General features: G+C 35.9%; 1 annotated feature.

Annotated features, from left to right (window-relative positions):
• Positions 21,791–22,348: an enhancer, noted in NCBI's record as "NANOG hESC enhancer chr2:35014745-35015302 (GRCh37/hg19 assembly coordinates)". NCBI's record gives its function as "activates a minimal SCP1, AML or CMV promoter by ChIP-STARR-seq in naive H9 embryonic stem cells {active_cell/tissue: H9 hESC(naive)}" and the evidence as "EXISTENCE:reporter gene assay evidence [ECO:0000049][PMID:30033119]".

The raw sequence follows: 22,965 nt of genomic DNA on the forward strand, positions 1-22,965 counted from the left end.
TTACGCAGGAAAAACATATAAAGTAGTATGATTCCACATATCTAATATAGTACCAAGAGCTAGCAATCAGGTAGGATAAGTATCACATTTCAAAACTTCATTTCCCAAGCCTCCATTCACCACTTCTGATAAAACACAATCTCCAAGTAAAAATCAAGTGCTTGTATTAATAGAAATACAACTCCCAAAGTGTTCTTTAACCTTGTGTTTCAATTGGACTGCTACCTATAAGCCTCTCTTACATAGAAAGTGTGAATTTTCAATAGCAAAGACTTGGAACCAACCCAAATGTCCATCAATGATAGACTGGATTAAGAAAATGTGGCACACATACACCATGGAATACTATGCAGCCATAAAAAAGGATGAGTTCATGTCCTTTACAGCAACATGGATGAAGCTGTAAACAATCATTCTCAGCAAACTAACACAGGAACAAAAAACCAAACACCGCATGTTCTCACTCATAAGTGGGAGTTGAACAATGAGAGCACATAGACACAGGGAGGGGAACATCACACACTGGGGCCTGTCGGGGGGTGGGGGGCTGGGGGAGGGATAGCATTAGGACAAATACCTAATGTAAATGATGAGTTGATGGGTGCGGCAAACCAACATGGCACATGTATACCTATGTATCAAACCTGCACGTTGTGCACATGTACCCTAGAACTTAAAGTATAATAAAAAAAAGAAAGTGTGAATTTTTTGCCTGCGTGTGTATGTATGTGCATGCATATATATATCTAATGTATCCCATAAATATATGCACTTACTACGTATACACATATATAGACACGCATATATATATATATATACCTACTATGTATACAGATATACAGACATACACACATGTGCATGCACGTACACACGCAGGCAGAAAATTCACACACAAACATATATATAAAATATTAAACAGTTTATTTTTATTTTACTGGGTACATAGTAGGTGTATATATTCATGGGGCACATGAGATATTTTGATACAGGCATAGAATGCATAATAATTACCTCAGGGTAAATGGGGTATCCATCACCTCAAGCATTTATCCTTTCTTGTGTTACAAACAATCTGATTATACTTTTAGTTATTTTAAAATGTACAATAAACTGTAGTTACCCTGTTATGCTGTCAAATACTAGTTTTTATTCATCCTATCTAATTATGTTTTTGTATCTATTAACCATCTCTATTCTCCCATCTTCACTAGCTTTCCCAGCCTCTGGCAACCATCATTCTATTCTTTATCTCCATGACTTCAATTGTTTAAAATTTTTTAGCTCCCACAAATAAGTGAGAACATGCGAAGTTTGTCTTTCTGTGCCTGGCTCATTTAACATAATTATCTCCAGTTTCATCCATGTTGTTGCAGACCATCGGATCTCATTCTTTCTTGTGGCTATAGTACTCTATTGTGTATATGTACCAAATTTTTATTATCCATGAATCTTTTGATGAACAATTAAGTTGCTTCCAAATCTCGGCTATTCTGAATAGTGATGCAGTAAATATGGGAGTGCAAATATTTCTTTGATTTCCAGATTTCTGATTTCCTTTCTGTATAACTAGCAGTGGGGTTGCTGCATCATATTGGTAGTTCTAATTTTAGTTTCTTGAAGAACCCCCAAACTGTTTTCAATAGTGGTTGCACTAATTTGCATTTCTATGAACAGTGCAGGAAGGTACCCTTTTCTCCACATCCTCACCAGCATTTGTTATTGCCTGTCTTTTGTAAATAAGCTGGGGTATTTTAACTTTTAACTGAGATAAATTGATACCTCATCAGTTTTGGTTTGTATTTCTCTGATGATCAATGATGTTGAGCACCTTTTCATACACGATTGCCATTTGTATATCTTCTTTTTAGAAATGTCTATTCAGAACTTTTGCCCATTTTTAAATCAGAATATTAGTTTTTTTCTTATTGACTTGTTTGAGCTCCTTATACATTCTGGTTAATCCCTTGTCAGATGGATAGTTTGCAAATATTTCTCTCCCATTCTGTGGGTTGTGTCTTCACTTTGTTGATTGCTTTCTTTGCTGTGCAGAAACTTTTTAACTTGAGGTGATCCCATTTGTCCAGTTTTGCTTTGGTTGCTTATGCTTGTGGGGTATTAAAAAAAAAAAAACCTCTGCCCAGCCTAATGTTCTGGAGAGCTTCCCCAACATTTTTTTGTAGTGGTTTCGTAGCTTGGGCTCTCAGATTTGAGTATTTAATCCATTTTGATTTGATTTTTGTCTATGGTGAGAGGTAGTGGTCTAATGTCATTATTTTGCATATGGATATCCAATTATTTCAGACCTATTTACTGAAGACTGTCCTTTCTCCAATGTGTGCTCTTGGCACCTTTGTAAAAAATGAGTTCACTGTAGATGTATAGATTTATGTCTGGGTTCTCTATTCTGATCCATTGGTCTGTAAGTTTGTTTTTATGCCCGTATCATGCTGTTTGGTTTAGTGTAGCTCTGTAGTATAATTTGAAGTCAGGTAATGTAATTCTTCCAGTTTTATTCTTCTTGCTCAGGATGGCTTTGGCTATTCCATGTTTTTTGTGGTCCCATGTAAATTTTAGAATTATTTTTTCTATTTCTGTGAATAATCACTCATATTTTAATAGAGAGATTGATTTGAATATCTAGATTGCTTTGGACAGTGTGGATACTTTAACTGTATTGCTTCTTCCAATCCATAAACATAGAATATTTTTCCATTTTTTTGTTACAGCACATACTACTTTCCTCTGGCTATCATTTCTAAAGATTGTAAAGACTATCCACGCAGGTTAGAATATCCAAAAGTAACATCTTGCCCTTCTTAGTGATCTCATTCCATCCTCACTCCCTTAGACAGATTAAGATACTGTTGCAGATTAGGTCATGGCAATTCTATCAACTTAATCACAAAGAAGTTACTACTTAACTCTTTAATCTTTTCAGTTTTTCTTCTCTAGATTTTGCTTTATATTTCTCTCTTTCTTCAGTTTTTGTGGGACCTTACTTTTCCCGTACCTTTGTGTCCCTTACCTTATGTCCTTTACCTTTCCTTTTTAATTTAACATTTATAGATTTTTTCAATTTCTGTTTTTAATAAAAAAATTGTGTCCTCAGCCCTCTGCTCTTTTGAAGTCATAACTTCTTCAAAATACCTTTATTCAGTGTTCAACTACTATGTGTTTGCTAATCAATAAAAACAGACCTATCTCTTGTATAATCCAGAACTCTATCTCCAGTGGTCTGTCAGACATCTTTGCTTTCATGTCAAAATGAAATAATTCATGCTAAAATGGAAATAATTAAAACAAATAACAAAGAAACAACCTTAGCCTTTTAACATTTGTCAGTTTTTTAAATGACATCATTAGCCACCAAGCAAGCCACCTAAGACAAATTCACTTTTGTTTTTTTAACAGCACTGTCCTCTACCTTGCCCCATCTGATGGCCATCAAATTCCGCTGATTCTACAGCTTTGATAGCTTATCAGCTCTGTTTTCTAGAATTCTTGCCACCCACTTAGTTCAGACTCCTGAAATTTTTTCAAACAGAATAAGGAATCTCTTATTTTGCTTGGCTGTGATCTTATCCTCATATCCTTTGCCAAACAGGCATAAAAGGCTCCAAATTGCTGCAAATCTCATCATATCATTTCCATTAAAATAATCTTAAAGCTCCTTCAGGATTTTATTCAGCATAGAATTTTCATGATACCCATTCAAGATCTGGAACCTGCCCACTGCTCCAGCTTCCTTCTCATGTTTTATGTCTGTGCATTATACATGCAATTCTTTTGCTTGAAATGTGATTCTCTCTTCCCCATCTTTTCCGTCTTTCATCTTTTATTAAAAATTGACCTGGCCGGGCACAGCGGCTCACGCCTGTAATCCCAGCACTTTGGGAGGCTGAGGCGGGTGGATCACGAGGTCAGGAGATCGAGACCATCCTGGCTAACACGGTGAAACCCTGTCTCTACTAAAAATACAAAAAATTAGCCGGGCATGGTGGCGGGCGCCGGTAGTCCCAGCTACTTGGGTGGCTGAGGCAGGAGAATGGCATGAACCCCCCGGGGGGCGGAGTTTGCAGTGAGCCGAGATCGCGCCACTGAACTCCATCTTGGGCGACAGAGCGAGACTCTGTCTCAAAAAAAAAAAAAAAAAAAAAAAAGAAAAGAAAAATTAACTTGAACATAGCCTTCAAAAAATATTTCTTAAGCCACAGCCAAATGTCCACAGCCCTTAATCTGTGCTCTCAGAGGATTCTGCATATTCTTCTTACATAAGAGTATGTGAGAAGTATTCACACTTCAATGTGCTCAATCATTCATTTGTCTGTCCCCTTTATGGCCTAAGCTCTTTGAGGGCAGGAGCTCTGCTTTATTAATTTTAAATCTCTAGCATTTATTACTGAGTCCAGTAAACTAATTGTTAAACAAATATTAAGTAAAGATATAATTGCAAGAAACACACAGAAAATACTTCTATTTTATCTTTCTTGGGAGAGGTGATTACTTTTTATTATACCCTTCCCATTTCTACTGTTACCTATTTCCACTTTTTCTTACAAAATGAGACCTAACCCTAAAAATAATAATAATATTCTTGAAGGATAGTTAGTCTTTAATTCTCTGAATAGCTAGATATTTACAATTACATAATTTCTTGAAAAACATGTGCTGAGTTATGCATTCTCAGGAGACATTCATTTAAATAGCTCAGGACACAGCTAAGTTCCCAGGGGAATAAAGTTAAGAACACACATAGGGATTACAATCTCTAGGAGATAATACGTTGCCTACTTCTTCAGGGGAATTAGGAAATGAGTTGCATATAGCCTCATTAGGAGGACAGAAAGCTACTGTCACTTTTCTAAGAGGTGCTCTGAGCATCATCTATTATTTTTTTCTTTTACGTTGTGCAGCTTATGGAAATAGCTATGATACCATTTACAATTTCTTTTTGGTGAGAGGCAATAGTCCTTTCTGAGTTATGATTATTATTAGTTCTACAAATGCCCTCTGGAATCTGTAAAGTTCATTTGTGCATATTATATTAATTCACTAGCATGATTTTGTTAATTTACAAATCTAATTGCAAATTTCTGGAAAGAAAATATATACACACACATGGAATGTATACACATATGTATACATTCCATATGTGTATATATGTAATGCATACACACAGGTAATGCATACACATATGTAATGTATACACATATACACATATGTGTGTATCTATCTATCTATCTATAGAGAGAATTTGACGAAGCACCAAAGTTGTAAGGCATGAATTCTGTACTAAAGAATTTGGACATTTTTAGGTGTGTGGGGCAGAGGAAGGGAAGATATGCAAACACAGACTAAAATAGGCTAAATGTCCAAGTATCTGGGCTTTAGGTATATTGTTCTCTTAGGAACACCTGTACTCAATTTTTATTTCACTCACTCATGAACACTCAGTTATTAGACAGGTTCTAGCATTCTGATTTGTAATCCTCAAGGATTACCTTAGACTAAGTACCATAGATAACAAATAGCCAGTTTATAATGCAAAATATTATATTGTTAAAGTGACCTGAAGTTTCTTATAACAATAAATAAATGTAATGAAATATTTTCTAATATATTGTCTGCAAATTAATGTGCTTTAAACTCAGAATAATTAGAAGTTACAAGATCTGGCCCTAACGATTGAAAGAGTAATTTCGCTTTTGGAGCCTTTCCTAAGGAAAACACCCGGACTATATTATAAGAAATAGGTTTACACAAGTGATCTTCAAATTAGTGTTATGGTGGCAAACATAATAAAAAATCAGGAAGCAAATAATACTATAGCTAGGCAATGACCAGGCATTAATGCAGCCAATAATATAAACTTTTCTCTAAGTTTATGTCATGAGAAATGCTTTTGCTATGATAAGTAAAGCATTCAGGAGTCAGAAACATCTTTAATGTGTAAGTATGTTATAATTAAGCAAAAATACGCATTAAAAGGGGGTTAGTATTAAATAAATTAAACATTTAGGTAGCTTTTATCTGAGAATTGTCAAACTTTCAATTCTATTTTTATTCTAAGTATTTTATATTTTTAGAATTATGGATACATATTAAAACTATACTAAAAATAAACTTTATGTTTACAATTACATAAAAATAAATGAAATTTAGTTACTATCTATAAAATCTAACAGCAATTTTTTTCTAACTTCCGGAATGACAATTGCTGGTTCTGTCTTCTAATACGCCAGTGAGTAAGTGAAAGGTCACAGAAATTTGAACTTACAGGATTCACTTTGCAGATAGTGTTTTATTATAATTTATTTTTTTAAGTTCTGAAACTTCTAAAATAAGTACTATGTAATATTGTGGCCAAATTGCTTATCACATGTTAATAGTCACTTCTTTATCCCTTTTTTGGCAAATATACACCTCCTTCTATCCCAGCTTTAGTGAGTTTAAAGAGAATGAAAATCAAAGTTTCAATCAACACTGATCCAACTCTCAATTACCTAAAGAGCAAAGGTAAACCTAATAAGAATGTTACAACTCACTTACAACCAAATTATAAACTACTAACCAATTTGGCTGCCAAAGTTGAAGTAGAGAATCACGTTGGTAACGTGTAGAGGTATAAACCATCTTTTCTGTGCTAAAATTGCCTATGTATCATCAAAATTTTAATACTGTTTTTTTGAATAATTCTAATATGTACAATTGCAGAAAACATTTAATGCAAGGTTAAGACAAGAGAAAATATGTATGTTAAATTTCTTATACAGTTGATATCAAAATCAATTGATTATCAGCTGCAAGATGGTCTGAAAATACAGGGGCCAGGGGTAAGAATGGTTATCAGTTCCACTATGTGCATTTTCCAAAATCACAAGAAGAAGAAGATTATTTCCTTTTTAAGAACTTTCCATCTTTGACAAACTTGTAACATATAAAGCTTCAATTGGAATAATAACAATCTTGTGCTTTGTTTTAGCTTAAATAACCCAGTTGGGTCAACACTTCATGTCTGGAACAACAGACTATGTTTAATTCAATTTTAAGGGGAATGGAAAAAGACAGTGAGGGCAATGGAAATATACTACCCTATCGATACAAGGTGAGGAAAGCCAGGAAGGAACAATGGTGGAGAAAACGTCTCTTGAAGGAAATGAAACTAGAAAAGAGATGATTGCCTATCTACTGTATGGAAAATAATATAAGCCATTTAGAATGAAGGTCATTTATTAAAGGGAAGCTTCAGCAATGCTTTTACAGTAGACTTCATCAAATCTCAACATCTATTTGTATTTAATTTCTAGGCTGTCCAATCTCATATTGATGATTGTGGCTACCCACAAATTTTCTGATGTTCATGGATGCATGTTAAAATATCAAGCCAAAAATAGGCAAATCAAAGTAGCATAAAAAAAGTGAGAAAATGATAGTTGGATAGAAAATAGTGATTTATATTTTGGCATTATTTTAGCCATTTGAAAGACTATATTGATATTGCATTCAATTAAATGAAGCACGGGGAAATCAAATTTTAGAAGTAACATAAATTTGTTTCTCCTCAAGAAGACATAGACTTGTTTTAGGCCAGGGGAAAATGACTTCTATCAATATCCATTCTAGCTCAAACACAATGGACATAAACAACTTTTTCACCTTTTTTTTGCTTATTTACTCCACAATACATCATCTGGAAAAAGAAATGTACTCAGGGGCACGTTAAGCTTATGAGGAGCCATAAGGAAGGCATCACTGGTAAGAAGGTTGAGTGTGAACTTACAGAAAAATTGACGTATCACTAAAAAAATTTTTAATGTCTAAGAACAATACATGTAAGGGCTAAGTAAATCATAAGCTGTGAGCCTGTATCTCTGTCCAACTCAATTACATATTCCAAAAAATAACCACAGAACAATGTGCACAGGGTCATAAGTTATCACACACACACACACACACAGGCTATAGACTAAATACCTGCATATGTATATAAGCAATTATATTTTATCACCATGAAACATATCAGCACGTTAATTCAGATTTTAACTTCTATTTTATCTGTGATAACAAAATAAACAAGGCCAAACAGATGGCATAAATACACATGAACTTTGGGGAAAAGGGGGCACAATTAAACTAAATTATATAATTCTAGTTCTCCATAATAGAAATAGCACCTAGGTGTGCAACATATGAGCAAGAGTCAATTCCATACCATAATACTTACATTTTCCACATTTTATACTGTGTGGAGAGAGGCTGGATAGAGTCAGCACTGATGGTTTCAAAGAAGATAACATTTTTATTAATATTGGAATTATACACACACACAGGCACACACTCTCATGGAGACACATTAATTCCATATATGTTTATTCAGAATTACATGTATTTTCTTAATATCCTCTCATGCTAAAATCTCTATGATGGATGACTAGGGTACATTGAATCCATTATGTTGAAGAGACATAATCTTATTTCAATTACATAAATGCAATACTGTATTTATTCTTGTGGGAAGATTGTTCTGATCTCTTTCAAGTCATGGGCTAAGTAAACTTTGGTACCCTAAGATTTTCCAAACCAAGTGAGCATATAGATCCCTATCTACAGCATGTGCACTTTATTATAAAAATTCTAATTTCAAAAGTCATAAACTTCTGAAGGCATAAACAGTAAGTTCTGAGATATAAAGGCAGGATCACAAAAAGCTAAAGCTCCCAATCACTTTATCATCTGTTTGAAGAAACCAATTAAACAATTATGTCAATAAATACCTCAGCCAAAAATTTGTTTTCTTTTATCATAATCTTTCTTTTTACATATATAAAACCTGGCCATATGCCAGGAGTTGTGCTCGATGCTTTTTAAATGTTATCTTCTCTCATAACAACAGAATTTTAAAATATTTTATCAGTGAGAAAACTGAAGCATAGAATAACTTGCTAAGGCCACCCAATGAGTAAAGAGTAGGGATGGTCTTTGAATCTCAACTACAGCCTCTTAGAGCTCATTTTCTTACCTATTACATTATATAGCCCCTTACTTTATTAAATTTGAAGAAGTAGGTTTAAGTAACTAACTCATTAATGATGTTTGGTACAAATTAAATTCCATATTCCAAATTAATGATTCATGGGTTGGAAAGGAGATCCTCAAATTCATCCTAATCCTCCACAGACACCTCCCAGAGTATAATATATCTGGCATATGTCTGGCAATTGTTATATATTTGCTAATCAACAAATGAAAGAATACAGTATGACTACTCAAGTCAACTTAGATGGGGAGATGTCATTATCTAAGGCTTACTGTTTTATGAAATAGTGGCTTTGACTCTGTTTCAAAGTGATAGAACTATTCTTGATGCTGCAATAACTCAATCATTATAAATTCCATAGACACTGGAATCATTACAATTGGTCTTTTCCGTGGTATTCATTAGATTGGGAATTGATTAGAGATAATACCTAAGTTTGAATAAAGGCTTATACATTTTAAAGCATGAAGATAACAGACAACATTGACGACAGCAAAAATAGAATGAAAAGGAACATTATATGCTAGAACTAAAAGTAGTCACTATGTGTATTTGTTGATGCCTAAGATCAGTTATAGTAAATTAAGCTTTCTTAATGGGATTCTGATGCTTTTTCAATATACTTTAGTAAACCAAACCCATTAGAATAACCTTCAATTGTGGTTTGTGTCTTTTTTTAAAAATGACCAAAGATTCTTCTTAATTGTAGAAAGCAATTTAATAAGCAAATATTTAAATATGAACTATATGCAGTTGACAGTCTCTGACTACTAAGAGATCAGACTCTACCAACATTTGGATAATTAATTTTAGTGATAAAAGAGGCAAATGCCAATGGAGAAGTAATCTAAAATGCCTGTGCTTTCTTTTTTTTATTTTTCTTTTTTATTTTTTTGAGATGGAGTTTTGCTCTTGTTGCCCAGGCTGGCATGCAATGGTGTGATCTTGGCTCACTGCAACCTCCGCCTCCCAGGCTCAAGTGATTCTCCTGCCTCAGCCTCCTGAGTAGCTGGGATTACAGGCATGCACTACCACACCCGGCTAATTTTTTGTATTTTTAATAGAGACAGGGTTTCTCCATGTTGGTCAAGCTGGTCTCAAACTCCTGACCTCAGGTGATCCGCCCACCTCAGCCTCCCAAAGTGCTGGGATTATAGGCGTGAGCCACCACACCCGACCTGTGCTTTCTATACCATGTGTGGAAAATTTCTAAGAGGGCTTATCTAAGGGAAAGGCTAATTATTTCAAATGGCTCCTCTGTAAAGTCACAGCTCTGCAACCTCCTGTCAGTTGTGAAACTTTCAGAAAAGAATTGAAAAGATCTCTGGGTGAGTGGGAAAGTGTTGGTTTCCATGGAGAAAATGATTTGGCTCTAGATGACTGCCTGTTCTAGAGAATGATGAGAAACCCCATTGCTGACATAGACTAAACCATAACAATTTTATCTCTAATATATTTGATGAAAATTCTAGACAAAATAGCCATTCTTCATGATCTTCCATTTAATATTCCTTATGACACCATTCAGAAATGAAATGAGTACTCTGGAATTTTTTTTTTTTTTGAGATGGAGTCTCGCTATGTTGCCAAGGCTGGAATTCAGTGGTACGATCTGGGCTTGCTGCAACCTCTGCCTCATGAATTCATGCAATTCTCCTTCCTCAGCCTCCCAAGTAGCTGAGATTACAGACTACGCCACCATGTCCGGCTAATTTTTGTATTTTTTTAGTAGAGACAGGGTTTCACCGTGTTGGCCAGGCTGGTCTCGAACTCCTGCGATCAAGTGATCTGCCTGACTTGGCCTCCCAGATTGCTGGGATTACAGGCGTGAGTCACCGTGCCCGGCTGGAAATATGTTTTTAAATGAAAATTATAATTGTTATTTAATAACGTTACCTATCTAAATAATACTCAACACCTAGACTCCTGAAAAGTGAATTAGCCCCAGAGATATAAATTTTTGTACATCTAGGTCAACAGGAAAATAGAATAAAATAAAATACGAGTAAATCAATTTTCTTTCCCTAAATTTTTCTTGTCATTAATCAAACTAATTTGAATATAGCACTTTTAAAAACAGAACAAAATTAAATTGAGTTTTCACATTTAATGTATTTTAGGTAAACAATATTTTCTAATGCTTTTATTGTCTAATTGCCACCCGATGATTTTGAATCATACAAAGTACAGAAAGTCTGGGAGCAGAGGACAACAGAAACGTAAGAATTTAGGGTATATTTGATTCAGCACCCAGGAAACGACTCACTTTTAAAACAGGGAAAGTCTCTACATTTAAATGTAAAAGAACAAATCTTCCCTCTTAAGTATGCTATTCTCTATTTTGAGATTTCCCAAATCTACTTCTTCCTTCCAATGGCTGTTACATCTTTCTCAAATCTCTCAGTCCCAAGTTTTCACTGTTTCCATATGTCTTCTACAATATTATTTTTACTATCTTCCTTTATATGGCTTTCTAGCTCTGCCCACATGCCCTAACATGGAAACCATGAAAGACTGAGACAATACAGGTAAACAAAATAATTTAAAAATCCATTTACAAAAATGGAAAAATAGCATTTAAGTTTATGCGAAGAGTTACAAAATTTTAGAAAAAACAGCATGTCTCAGGCTCTTTAATTCATGGGCCCAGGCCGGGTGCGGTGCCTCTCGCCTGTAATACCAGCACTTTGGGAGGCCGAGGCGGGTGGATTGCTTGAGGTTGGGAGTTCAAGACCAGCCTGACCAACATGGTGAAACCCATCTCTACTAAAAATACAAAAACTAGCCGGGCATGGTGGCAGGTGCCTGTAATCCTAGCTACTCAGGAGGCTGAGAACCGCTTGAAGCCAGGAGGTGGAGGCTGCAGTGAGCTGAGGTCATTCCACTGTACTCCAGCCTAGGTGACAGAGCAAGACCCCATCTCAAAAAAAAAAAAAAAAAAAATCATGTGCCCTTAAAAATCATAAGACTTTCTTTAGTGTTATTTAAAATTTCAAGGTATATTTTGTGTGGTTTAAACAAATCGAATTATATTGTAAAACAAAGTTTTATATTGAATAGGTTTTTTCTAATTACCCAAACCCTCCTTCAAATTTTTCCTCATTTGATGTGTTATTCATGATGCTTTCCCCTACTAGACAAGTACTTTACCAAATTTTACAAGCAATTGAACAAGGAATTATTTTTCTATATTTAGGTCCCTGCATTGCAGTTTAGAAATCCCCTTGTGAAAATATGGGACAAATATTTGAAATGGAAATCCAAATGTAAATGAAAACATTACATCTGTAGGGGGATTTCTTTAAATCTTTAAATTGTGCAAACCGAAGCCATATCTGTAACCGAATAGATTAATAATCGCAAGCCAGTATGAATCCTATGAAATCTATAGGGACAAATAGCAAACAATCATTTATGGGCCAGGAACTTTATTGACTAAGAACTCACTGTAGTTCCTGTGACTCTCTGCTGCATTGCAGGTGCTAAAGGAATAGGTAAGGGTTAAAATGTAAGGAAAACCTCAACAAAACAATTGTATCAGTCCATTTTCAGGCTGCTGATAAAGAAATACCTGAGACTGGGAAGAAAAAGAGGTTTAATTGGACTTACAGTTCCACATGGCTGGGGAGGCCTCAGAATCATGGTGGAGATGAAAGGCACCTTCTTACATGGTGGCAGCAAGAGAAAATGAAGCAGCAGCAAAAGCAGAAACCCCTGATACACCCATCAGATCTCGTGAGACTTATTCACTATCATGAGAATAGTATGGGAAAGACCAGCCCCCATGATTCAATTACCTCTCCCTGGGTCCTTCCCAAAACACATGGGAATTCTGGGAGATATAATTCAAGGTGAGATTTGGGTGGGGACAAAGCCAAGCCATATAAACGATAAACTCAAACAGGGAAGAGTTTTGTTTGCTTGTTTTTTTTTTTTTTTGTTCTTTTTTCCCCCTTTCCTTTTTCCTGGTTGTCTGGTTTACATGACAACAAAAGCATCTAAGAAATTCAGCTTGTCTAAGATGCCAATCCAAAGTGTCACAGACAGGCTTTCAGTCATAGGACAGGTCATTACTGCAAATGCTGGACCCAGGGGTACTAGGCTTGGACTAAGTTAATGATTATGTGGCAAAAACGTATTCTTTCCATAGGAATGTGGAGGGCTGTAAACGGGGGGAGGACATGGACTTAGAAGCTCCAAGTTGATGAAGAATTTCTACATTTCACTGTTAGAAGGATGCTTGGTTTTCCTACCAAGCCACTACATTGGCTGAATCTAAGGGCTCAAAGTTTAATGCAAGAAAGAAGGAAATGCCAGTTTTCAACAGAATGGTTGGATTTAAGAATCCTAAGTGAAACAATGGAGGTGGAGAGAATCCAAACTGGTAAACCAAACTCAAGTGAGGACAACATGAGGTATCAAATTACAGAGCCAAGAAATTCAGGTGTAAGAACAACTTCAAGTTACAAGGTCCAAGACATAGACTAAAATATGTTAAATGACAAGATCAAACAGATGGTTCATATAGGTGTATTAGGTTGAACAATGGCCCTGCAAAATGTCCGTGTCCTAATACCCAGAATCTGTCAATATGTTACCTTACATGGCCAATGGGTCTTCAAAGATGTGACTAAATCAAGTTTCAAGAGATGGGGAGATTATCCTGGTTTATCTGGGTGAGTTCAATGTAACCACTAGGGTCCGTATAAAAAAGAGGAATGCAGGTGAGAGTCAGAGAAAGTGATGTGATGGCAGGATATATGATGGCAGAAGCAGGGGTCAGAATGATGCAGGGCTACAGTTGAGGAACATGAGAAGCCTCCAGAAACTGGAAGAGACAAGAAAACAATTTTTTCCCTAGCACTTCCAGAAGCAACATAGCCATATCAAACTATTTTAAATGTGTGATCTTTACAACAGCAAGATCACAAATTTATGTTGCTTTACCATGCTTAGTTTGTGGTAATTTGCTATAGCAAGAATAAGGAACAAATACAATAGGAATGGAATAGCGTAAGTCAGAAACACAGGCAGGGAAAGATAACTTAAAAGTTAAAATTCACATACCCTGGTAGTGGGAATGTAAAGCACTGCAGCCATTATGGAAAACAGTATGAAGTTTCCTCAAAAAACTCATAATAAAAGTACCATAAGATCCAGATATTCACTGCTAGGGATATAACCAAAGGAAATTAATATTTCAAAAAGGTATCTGCACAACGATGCTTACTGCAGTGCTGTTTGAAATAGCCAAGATATGAAATGAACCTAAGTGTCCACCCATGGATGAATAAAGAAAATGTATATATACACAATGGAATATTATTCAGCCATTAAAAAGGAATGAAATCCTGTCTTTTGCGGCAACATGGATGGGAACTGACATTATGTTAAGTGAAATAAGTCAGGTAGAGAAAGACAAATATTGTATGTCTTACTCATATGTGGAAGCTAAAAAAATGAATCTAATGGAAATAGAGAGTAGAATTATGGTTAGAAGAGGCTGGAATAGGAAGGCAGTGGGAGGTGAAGAGGAGTTGGTTAATGTGTAAAAATATACAGTTAGATAGAAATAGTAGGTTCTAATATTCAATAGTACTATAGGAAAATTATGGTTAAGAATAATTGTACATTTCAAAACAGCTAGAAAAAAGAATTGTAATATTCTGAACACAAAGAAAATATCAATTTTTGAGGTAATAGATATAACAATTACCCTGATTTGAACATTACACATAGTATACATGTATCAAAATATCATGTGTATCCCCAACATATGTATAACTATGCTATATAAATAACATTAAAAAACTAGTAAAAAATAAGTCATACATGTACCATAGAGATAATAAGAAGGTAGTGATATAGGTACAGGGTTGGTATGGTAGGTCCAAGGAAAAATCAATAGAAAATGTCCTGTCCTTATATTTGTGGTAAGAACCGCCTAGATTTTTTCTTTTTTGTCGACAGGACAAGGCTAAGTCGGTTTCTGTAATCTTGGTATAGCCTATGAATAGGTTCTAACTCACCCCAGACGTAAGCATTTCTGAAGTTCTCTACTTATGGCTAAGGTACTTGTAATGCTCCACTAGACAATGAAAGAGAAAGGACCTAAGCAACAAAAGGCAGAGAATGAGATCCCCTGAGCAAGATTAATTATGAAAGCCTGTCTGGCTTCTGCTCCTCCAGCTATCCAAATGAGCTCATTTGGAGACAGGCTTTCTATCCCCCACTACAGGGTTAGCCATGGATTGAGAAATACACTCTACATGTGCTACAACTCATGCTTGTCATGCCTATGACAGATATTCCACATCAATCAGAGTGCAATTTCTTTCAGAATCTATCACAGTTCAATTTCCCCCTGAAGTGGAGTGCAGCCTCACAATTTTTATTACAGCAAACTACACAGCTATTACCATTTTCTCATAATGCCCACCCCAGATGTAGCTTATTTTCCTTAGCAGGTGTCTTTCCGCCTTCAAAGCTAAGAGGGATCCGCAACTTTAGGGAATGGGAAACTACATGTCAGTTGTTCTCAGGTAAAACCTACTTTCGTGTCTGTTGCAAGGTGACTTTGTTTTTCTGTGCATTTCAAAGATAGCTTTTGCGTGTTTTTAAGGGTATGCCATATCACTTTCAATCTCCAGAAGAAATGAAGACCAAAAGTGTTACTCCAAACCTCCAGGAGGGGCTGACAACTGAAGATCTTAGGTAGTTTTGAATTACATTTTTGGGGGTTTGTCTCTGAATCCTATTGCTAGATATTACTGGAGCTAAAGTCATCTCCCATTTTTAATCCACTATTGATTAAACACACACACACACACACAAATTAACCTGTTCTTAAAACCTGCATTTGCCTTCTCCATTAGACCACTTTTGTTGATGTTAGCTCTTCACTTAATATTTTCAGCCTCAAACTATCCTTGATAGTTTATTTTTTAAAAGAACATCCTTAAATTCTCAATGTTTCTATTGTCTAAAAGTACTATGTGCTAAATAAATATTAATTTTTCTATCTTATTTCTCTATACATTTATAATCCAACAGTAAGGAGGAAATAACATGGATAACATGTTTGTATGACTTGGGCCTGTGGCAGCAATATTCTGTCTATCATTCTCTCTAATGCCAATTCCTTAGCAGAATTTCGGTAGCTCTTAGATTTATTTCCAACCATTCACTTACTGCCAAACTCCTGGCTTGGATTTACCTTTCCCAGAGTGGCCCATATTACCACTGTCTGACACAGGTGATCTGCTCACTGGAATATATTGTTGACACTCAGCTAACAGATAATTGCTTTGTGCCACATGTGCTTCAGAGATGTCAAAAGGAAGAGGACAAAAATGAAATGAAGATGAACAAACAGCAGCACTTTCAGGACTATTAAAAATTATGTATTCATGAACTCAGAGCCCTCTCACCTTTTTGGCAGCCTATCTTGCAGTTTTCTCCAATATTCTGTAGTTGCTCCAATTCATTAGAAAGAGTTATGAAAGCACTACTGAAAAGCAAGCAATCATTACTATGATGACTATTTATAATTATCATGTTGTATTTTGCTGTTGTATGTTGTGTTTTGCCATTGTATGTTGCATTGCTGTCATAAGAACATACAGCTCAATGCCATATAATTGCATTTTATTATTTTAATGACAATTGTGTAATGTGTATTGATAGTCACTAACTCCATTTTCGGATTAAATACATTTAACAGGCCAAATGGAATTTTGCACATTTAAGGGGCACTAACATCTATTATTTACAGGAGAAAAGAGATGCCCTAACCTTAGTTTACACAAAACATCTTTATTTGATGCTAATGGTGGCCAAGGAGCAGTTGGCCAGCAAAGGCAGTTCCTGTCATATGCTTTGAAGTTCCAGATTGCCTAGAACTTCAAATTGGAATGATGCCTGTTATGGCAATTTTCAGGAGAAGTGAAAAAGGAATCTTAAAGATCAAAACTAATTTTTGGGACCATCTGCCGTAAATTATTTTTGTACTAGTTTTTTCATATATAAAGAAATCTTTCATGCATAAATACATACATATTCATATATAAAACTATACAGGCAGTTCTTGCTGTGCACATTTTGATATGCATGTATTTCAGTTATCATAGTTATAGTGAAATAACACCAGTCTCTCAACAATATGGTCCAAATTTCACTTACCATCATATATTAACTATTAGTAGTTACAGGAAGTACCAACATCTCTGCTAGCTCTTTAGTCCATCAGATATCATGTGAGGGACAGAAGCACATCATGCCTGGGATTCACTTCTTTCAAAGCCTGTCAGCTATTGTTCATTGCACATTTTTATGTTACTCAGTTTGCTCACAGACAGCAAAATGTGTAGTTGTGTTGTTTCCTTGTTGTCTCCTTGTCTCCCAGTGATAAACGCCCATGACATTTTACAAAAATGGGCAAAAGAGGGCAGTGGCCAACAAAGATAAAAGTGCGACAAATAAATAAAAAGTAATGCTGAAAGTGAAATCTAAATAGAATATAAATGGATTTGGAGAACAAAAAGGCTATCTATAGAAATAATACTGCCATTGTTCTAGATATAGCCAGAGGAAATTAGTGAATGTAGATTTATCTACACAAATAAGAAACACAGTTGTGATGAGAAGACTGTAGATATCCCAGAGGAAGTAACAGGAACTGAAATCTTTGCAGTAAAAGAACTCTCAGAGATATTTCGTCACATTGAATACACAATGAGTAAAATGTTAGAAGCTGATCCCAACTTAGAAAGAAGCAAGGCAATTTACTATGTCATAGAAAAGATGTGTGTTTAGTTTTGTAATTTTTATAACAAGAAGGCAAACACTGTTCAAACTATCCTTGATAGTTTATTTTTAAAAAGAATATCCTTATATAACCATAGTACTCTGTCCAAACAAGGAAACTGACATTGGTAAACTGTGACATCCATAGAACTTATTCAGATTTTACCAGTTTTACATGCTCACATCTTCTCTCTGTGAGTGTGTGTGTGTGTGTGTGTAATTCTATACAATTTTATTACGTGTAGATTTGTGTAACCTCCCTCATCAAAAAATTCATTCTGATTATAATTTATTGTACATTCTGATTATAACTTATTGTACATTCATGATTTATTGTACATTCTGATTATAATTTATTGTACATTCATGGTTGTCAGTATTTTGGTGTGTAGTATAGTTTCTGAAAGAAAACTAAAGCACAGAAGATAATATATACCAAAAGCACTAGTGTAACAGAAAATGTCTTTAAACTTATTATAAAGTTTCAAATGTTCCTTTTGTACATATTTTAGAGAAAAATAATGTGGTATGTTAGTACAAATAAATGATTAAAGTTTCATCCTCTTAAAAAACAATAAAAAAGAACATCCTTAAATTCTCAATGTTTCTATTGTCTACAAGTACTATGTGCTAAATAAATATTAATTTTTCTATTTTCTTCATTTCTCTATAGATTTATAATCCAACAGTAAGAGAGTTTTTAATGTATTAAGAAAACGTTTTCAAGGGTAACAGGAAATTTGTAATTTTTCTCATTGATTGTTGAGATCATTTGGCATATGTTTTGCTTTTATAGTCATTTTTATAGTATTGCACTATCTTACTGAAAAGCAAAGACTGCCTCTATTTATCCTATGATAAACGGACTCACTTGGAGATCAGACCATTCGAGTAGGTTTGTATAAAGGCTACAAAATCTTCAGTTGATGGTAAGAGAACAACCTGCAGGGCAGGAGAGCAGAAACCATGTTACCTACCATGAATTAGGAAAGGGAAATTGTGAAAAAGGCTCTGCTCTGGAGACTGGAGAAAAGGATTCTATAAACTTAGTTGGGTAGGGAAGGAGCTAGAATCCCAGTAATGAAACTGTATGCTTATGGAAGTATGTGGAGTGATGGAGAAACAAATGCTGTAATTATTCATCATTCATCACTACATTTGAAATTATCTGAGGAAAAAGGAGGAAATAACATGGATAACATGTTTTTCTCTCTCTCATACATACACACACACACACACAATTGTAATGGTTATTGACTTCACAATCCAACTTCATCTTCTATATGTTTAATATGTTTTATCCACCTGGATACCTTAACAGAAAACTAATTCTGGATATGGAACTATAGAGTCAATAAGAAAGACATTTTTAACATGCTGGGATGAATGAAGTTCTAATAAACTACTATAATCACACCTATGGCGAATGAGTTAATATTATCTCTTAATGTTTTGTGTGGCTTCATTTATTCTTCTTCCCTTTACTACATACTAAAAATGAGACAAGTTCTACCTTTTGTGAATTTCATTACACTGAGTGTTTGAGAGTTTTCAGAAACTAATTTATGATGTACTCTGAATAATTTTATGTGTGTATCCAAGGGAGTAATCAATACACCTTCCTTTACAACTGGGAGCTGGGTTCAGCAACTCCAACAGTTCTCTGATTTCCAATTTTATCTCTAAATTCAAGTAAGGTGCAAAATCTTATAACTGGACCTAACATGTAGAATAATAAATGACTTACCAGAGAAGAATGTTGTGATGGTGATCCTGCTTCTCATAGTTTTCAGGTGAGGAAGCCTGTGGGACTCATTCCCACCTGCCTTTCAGAATCACTTCCCTGGTTTATTCTCTGAAAACAGTGGAGGGAGGAGATAACTTATGGAGTAAGTCAGTTTATTGCAAAGGCAATGGGGACTGTATGGCAGAGCACCTTCTTCTGGAGTTTCAGCACAATAAAGACACTGTAGTTAATATTCATTCCAGTAGGACACATGGAAGCATTCTTTTTTTTTTTTTTTTTTGGGAGTCTCGCTCTGTCGCCGAGGCTGGAGTGCAGTGGCACAATCTCAGCTCACTGCAAGCTCTGCCTCCTGGGCTCATGCCATTCTCCTGCCTCAGCCTCCTGAGTAGCTGGGACTACAGGTGACCGCCACCATGCCCGGCTAATTTTTTGTATTTTTAGTAGAGACAGGGTTTCACCATGTTAGCCAGGATGGTCTCGATCTCCTGACCTCGTGATCCACCCGCCTTGGCCTCCCAACGTGCTGGGATTACAGGCATGAGCCACCGCACCCGATGACACATGCTAGCATTCTTTATGTTCATTCCAAGCCCTTTAGTATTGGGTTGTGGGAGATATTTTTTCTGACTTGATCTGTACCCTGGGGTCAGGACGTTACCTGATTCTGAGTCTCAGCTACTTCAACAGTGAAACATATGCTTGTATTTTACCACTAAGTTGAAACATTCTGATTCTGAATTTCATTCAAGTCATGTATATACATAAATGTGTGGTTTGTGTATACATATAAATATACACATATACATAACTTAAAGTTTTTTTTGCTCAGTATCTTTTAGATACCATTCCATATCAGTTTATAGATGGTTCAGTTTTTATAGCTGCCTATTACTTTATTGTGTCTATGTACTATAGTTTATGCAACAAATCTAGTTTGAACATTTAGAAAGTTAGTTATATTATGTAATTACAAATAGTACTGCAGAAAAATATTATTTCCCCATTCAATATACAATAATAAACTTCAAGTCCAAATGGGTTAGAGATTTAAATGAAAAAATGAAACTGTACAGATATTACAGTAAAACAGGACTGACATGGATAAAGACAAGAGAGATTCTTTTTGACTGTTTATGACTCTGTGACCACATACTCTAGGGGGCATTTAGGCTTTGATGATTGATTTAATCATGGTGAGATCATCAATGAATTAGATATTAGATGTCTTTTTCTGCACACATTTTGTATAATTTGCCAGTTTAAGCAAAGTTAGTTACATGCACTTCTATGTTGCCACCTCAGAAACTCCATCATGTGGTATGGTGGTTATTGATCTATATGGTAACCCTACAAAACTGATGATTCCTGAAAATGAAGTATTCATTTTCCTTTCAGATGCACAATATCTCCTACTTTCTGGTTCAATAGGCCTGTAGTGACACCCAGAAATCTGCATTTTCACCAGATTTCAGGAACTTTGCCATAGATGGCCCCAAGAGCCACATTTTACCACATATATTAGGTTGTGAGTTCCCTGAAAGAGAGAGCTGTGTTATATTCATGTTTCTACCGCAAGTATCCCTCTACACAATAAATGCTTGGAAATTTTTTTTAAATAGTTGCTAGTTTCTTTAACAAGAACAAAATAAAAAATGCCTTTGATAGTGACATTATTACCCCCAAGCTTTCAAGATAATACAGTTCAGATTACTTTTTTCTTTCTTTATATACTTTAGTTCCTCTGGAAATATTTTGCCTTCTGTAATAGTTAATTTTATGTGTCAATTTGACTGGGCCACCCAGGGAGTGGCCAGACATTTGGTCAAACATTATTCTGGGTGTTTCCCTGAGAGTGTTTTTGGATAAGATTAGCATTTGGATTGATCGACCCATGAAAGCAGTAAAAGAGATTGTCTTCCCTGTGTGTGTAGCCCTTATCCAATCAACTGAAGAACTGAATAGAACAAAAAGGCTGAGTAAGAGGGAACTTTATCTGCCTGACAAAATGATCTGGGACATTGGTCTTTTACACATGGACTAGAATTTACACCGTCAGCTCTTCACGTTCTTACGACTTTGGAAGCAGACAAGAATTATACAATTAACTCTCCTGGGTCTGCAGTTTGCCAACTGCAGATCTTGTTTCTTCTTGGCCTCCATAATCACATCAGCCAATTCCTTATAAAAATATTCTTATTTATAAATAAATACATATATAACTATATCTATATTAATATTTAAATCTATATGTATATGTCCTACTCTGAAGAACCTTGGCTAATGCATTCATCTAAGCTACTTTAGTGGAGACTCAGTTTAAAACAACAACGCCAAATGGCAATTGTCAGGCCTCTGAGCCCAAGCTAAGCCATCATATCCCCTGTGACCTGCTCCTAAACATCCAGATGGCCTGTTCCTTGCCTTAACTGATGACATTCCACCACAAAAGAAGTGAAAATGGCCGTTCCTTGCCTTAAGTGATGACATTATCTTGTGAAATTCCTTCTCCTGGCTCATCCTGCCTCAAAAGCTCCCCTACTGAGCACCTTGTGACCCCTGCTCCTCCCCCCAGAGAACAACCCCCCTTTGACTGTAATTTTCCTTTACCTACCCAAATCTTATAAAACAGCCCTATCCTTATCTTCCTTCACTGATTCATTTCGGACTCAGCCTGCCTGTACCCAGGTGATTAAAAAGCTTTATTGCTCACACAAAGCCTGTTTGGTGGTCTCTTCACAGGGATGCCAGTGAAATTTGGTGCCGTGACTCGGATCGGGGAACCTCCCTTAGGAGATCAATCCCCTGTCCTCCTGCTCTTTGTTTCGTGAGGAAGATCCACCTACGACCTCTGGTCCTCAGACCAACCAGCCCAAGGAACATCTCACCAATTTTAAATCCGGTAAGCGACCTCTTTTTACTCTCTTCTTCAAACTCTCTCACTATCCCTCAACCTCTTTCTTCTTTCAGTTTTGGTGCCACACTTCAATCTCTCCCTTCTCTTAATTTCAGTTCCTTTCCTTTCCTGGTAGAGACGAAGGAGACGCATTTTATCCGTAGACACAAAACTCCGGTGCTGGTCACAGACTCGGGAAGACAGTCTTCCCTTGGTGTTTAATCACGCGGGGATGCCTGCCTGATTATTCATCCACGTTTCAGAGGTGTCTGACCACGCAGGGACACCTGCCTTGGTCCTTCACCCTTAGTGGTAAGTACCACTTTTCTAGGGGGCAATAAGCCCCCAATCCCTTCTCTTCGTGTCTCTACCCCTTCTCTGCTTTTCTGGGGGGCAAGAACCCCCCAACCTCTTCTCCTTCACCCTTAGCAGCAAGTACCGCTTTTCTGGGGGGCAAGAATCCCCCCCAGCCCCTTGTCTCCA

Source organism: Homo sapiens, chromosome 2 (genome assembly GCF_000001405.40).
Source record: "Homo sapiens chromosome 2, GRCh38.p14 Primary Assembly".
Lineage (NCBI taxonomy): Eukaryota > Metazoa > Chordata > Mammalia > Primates > Hominidae > Homo > Homo sapiens.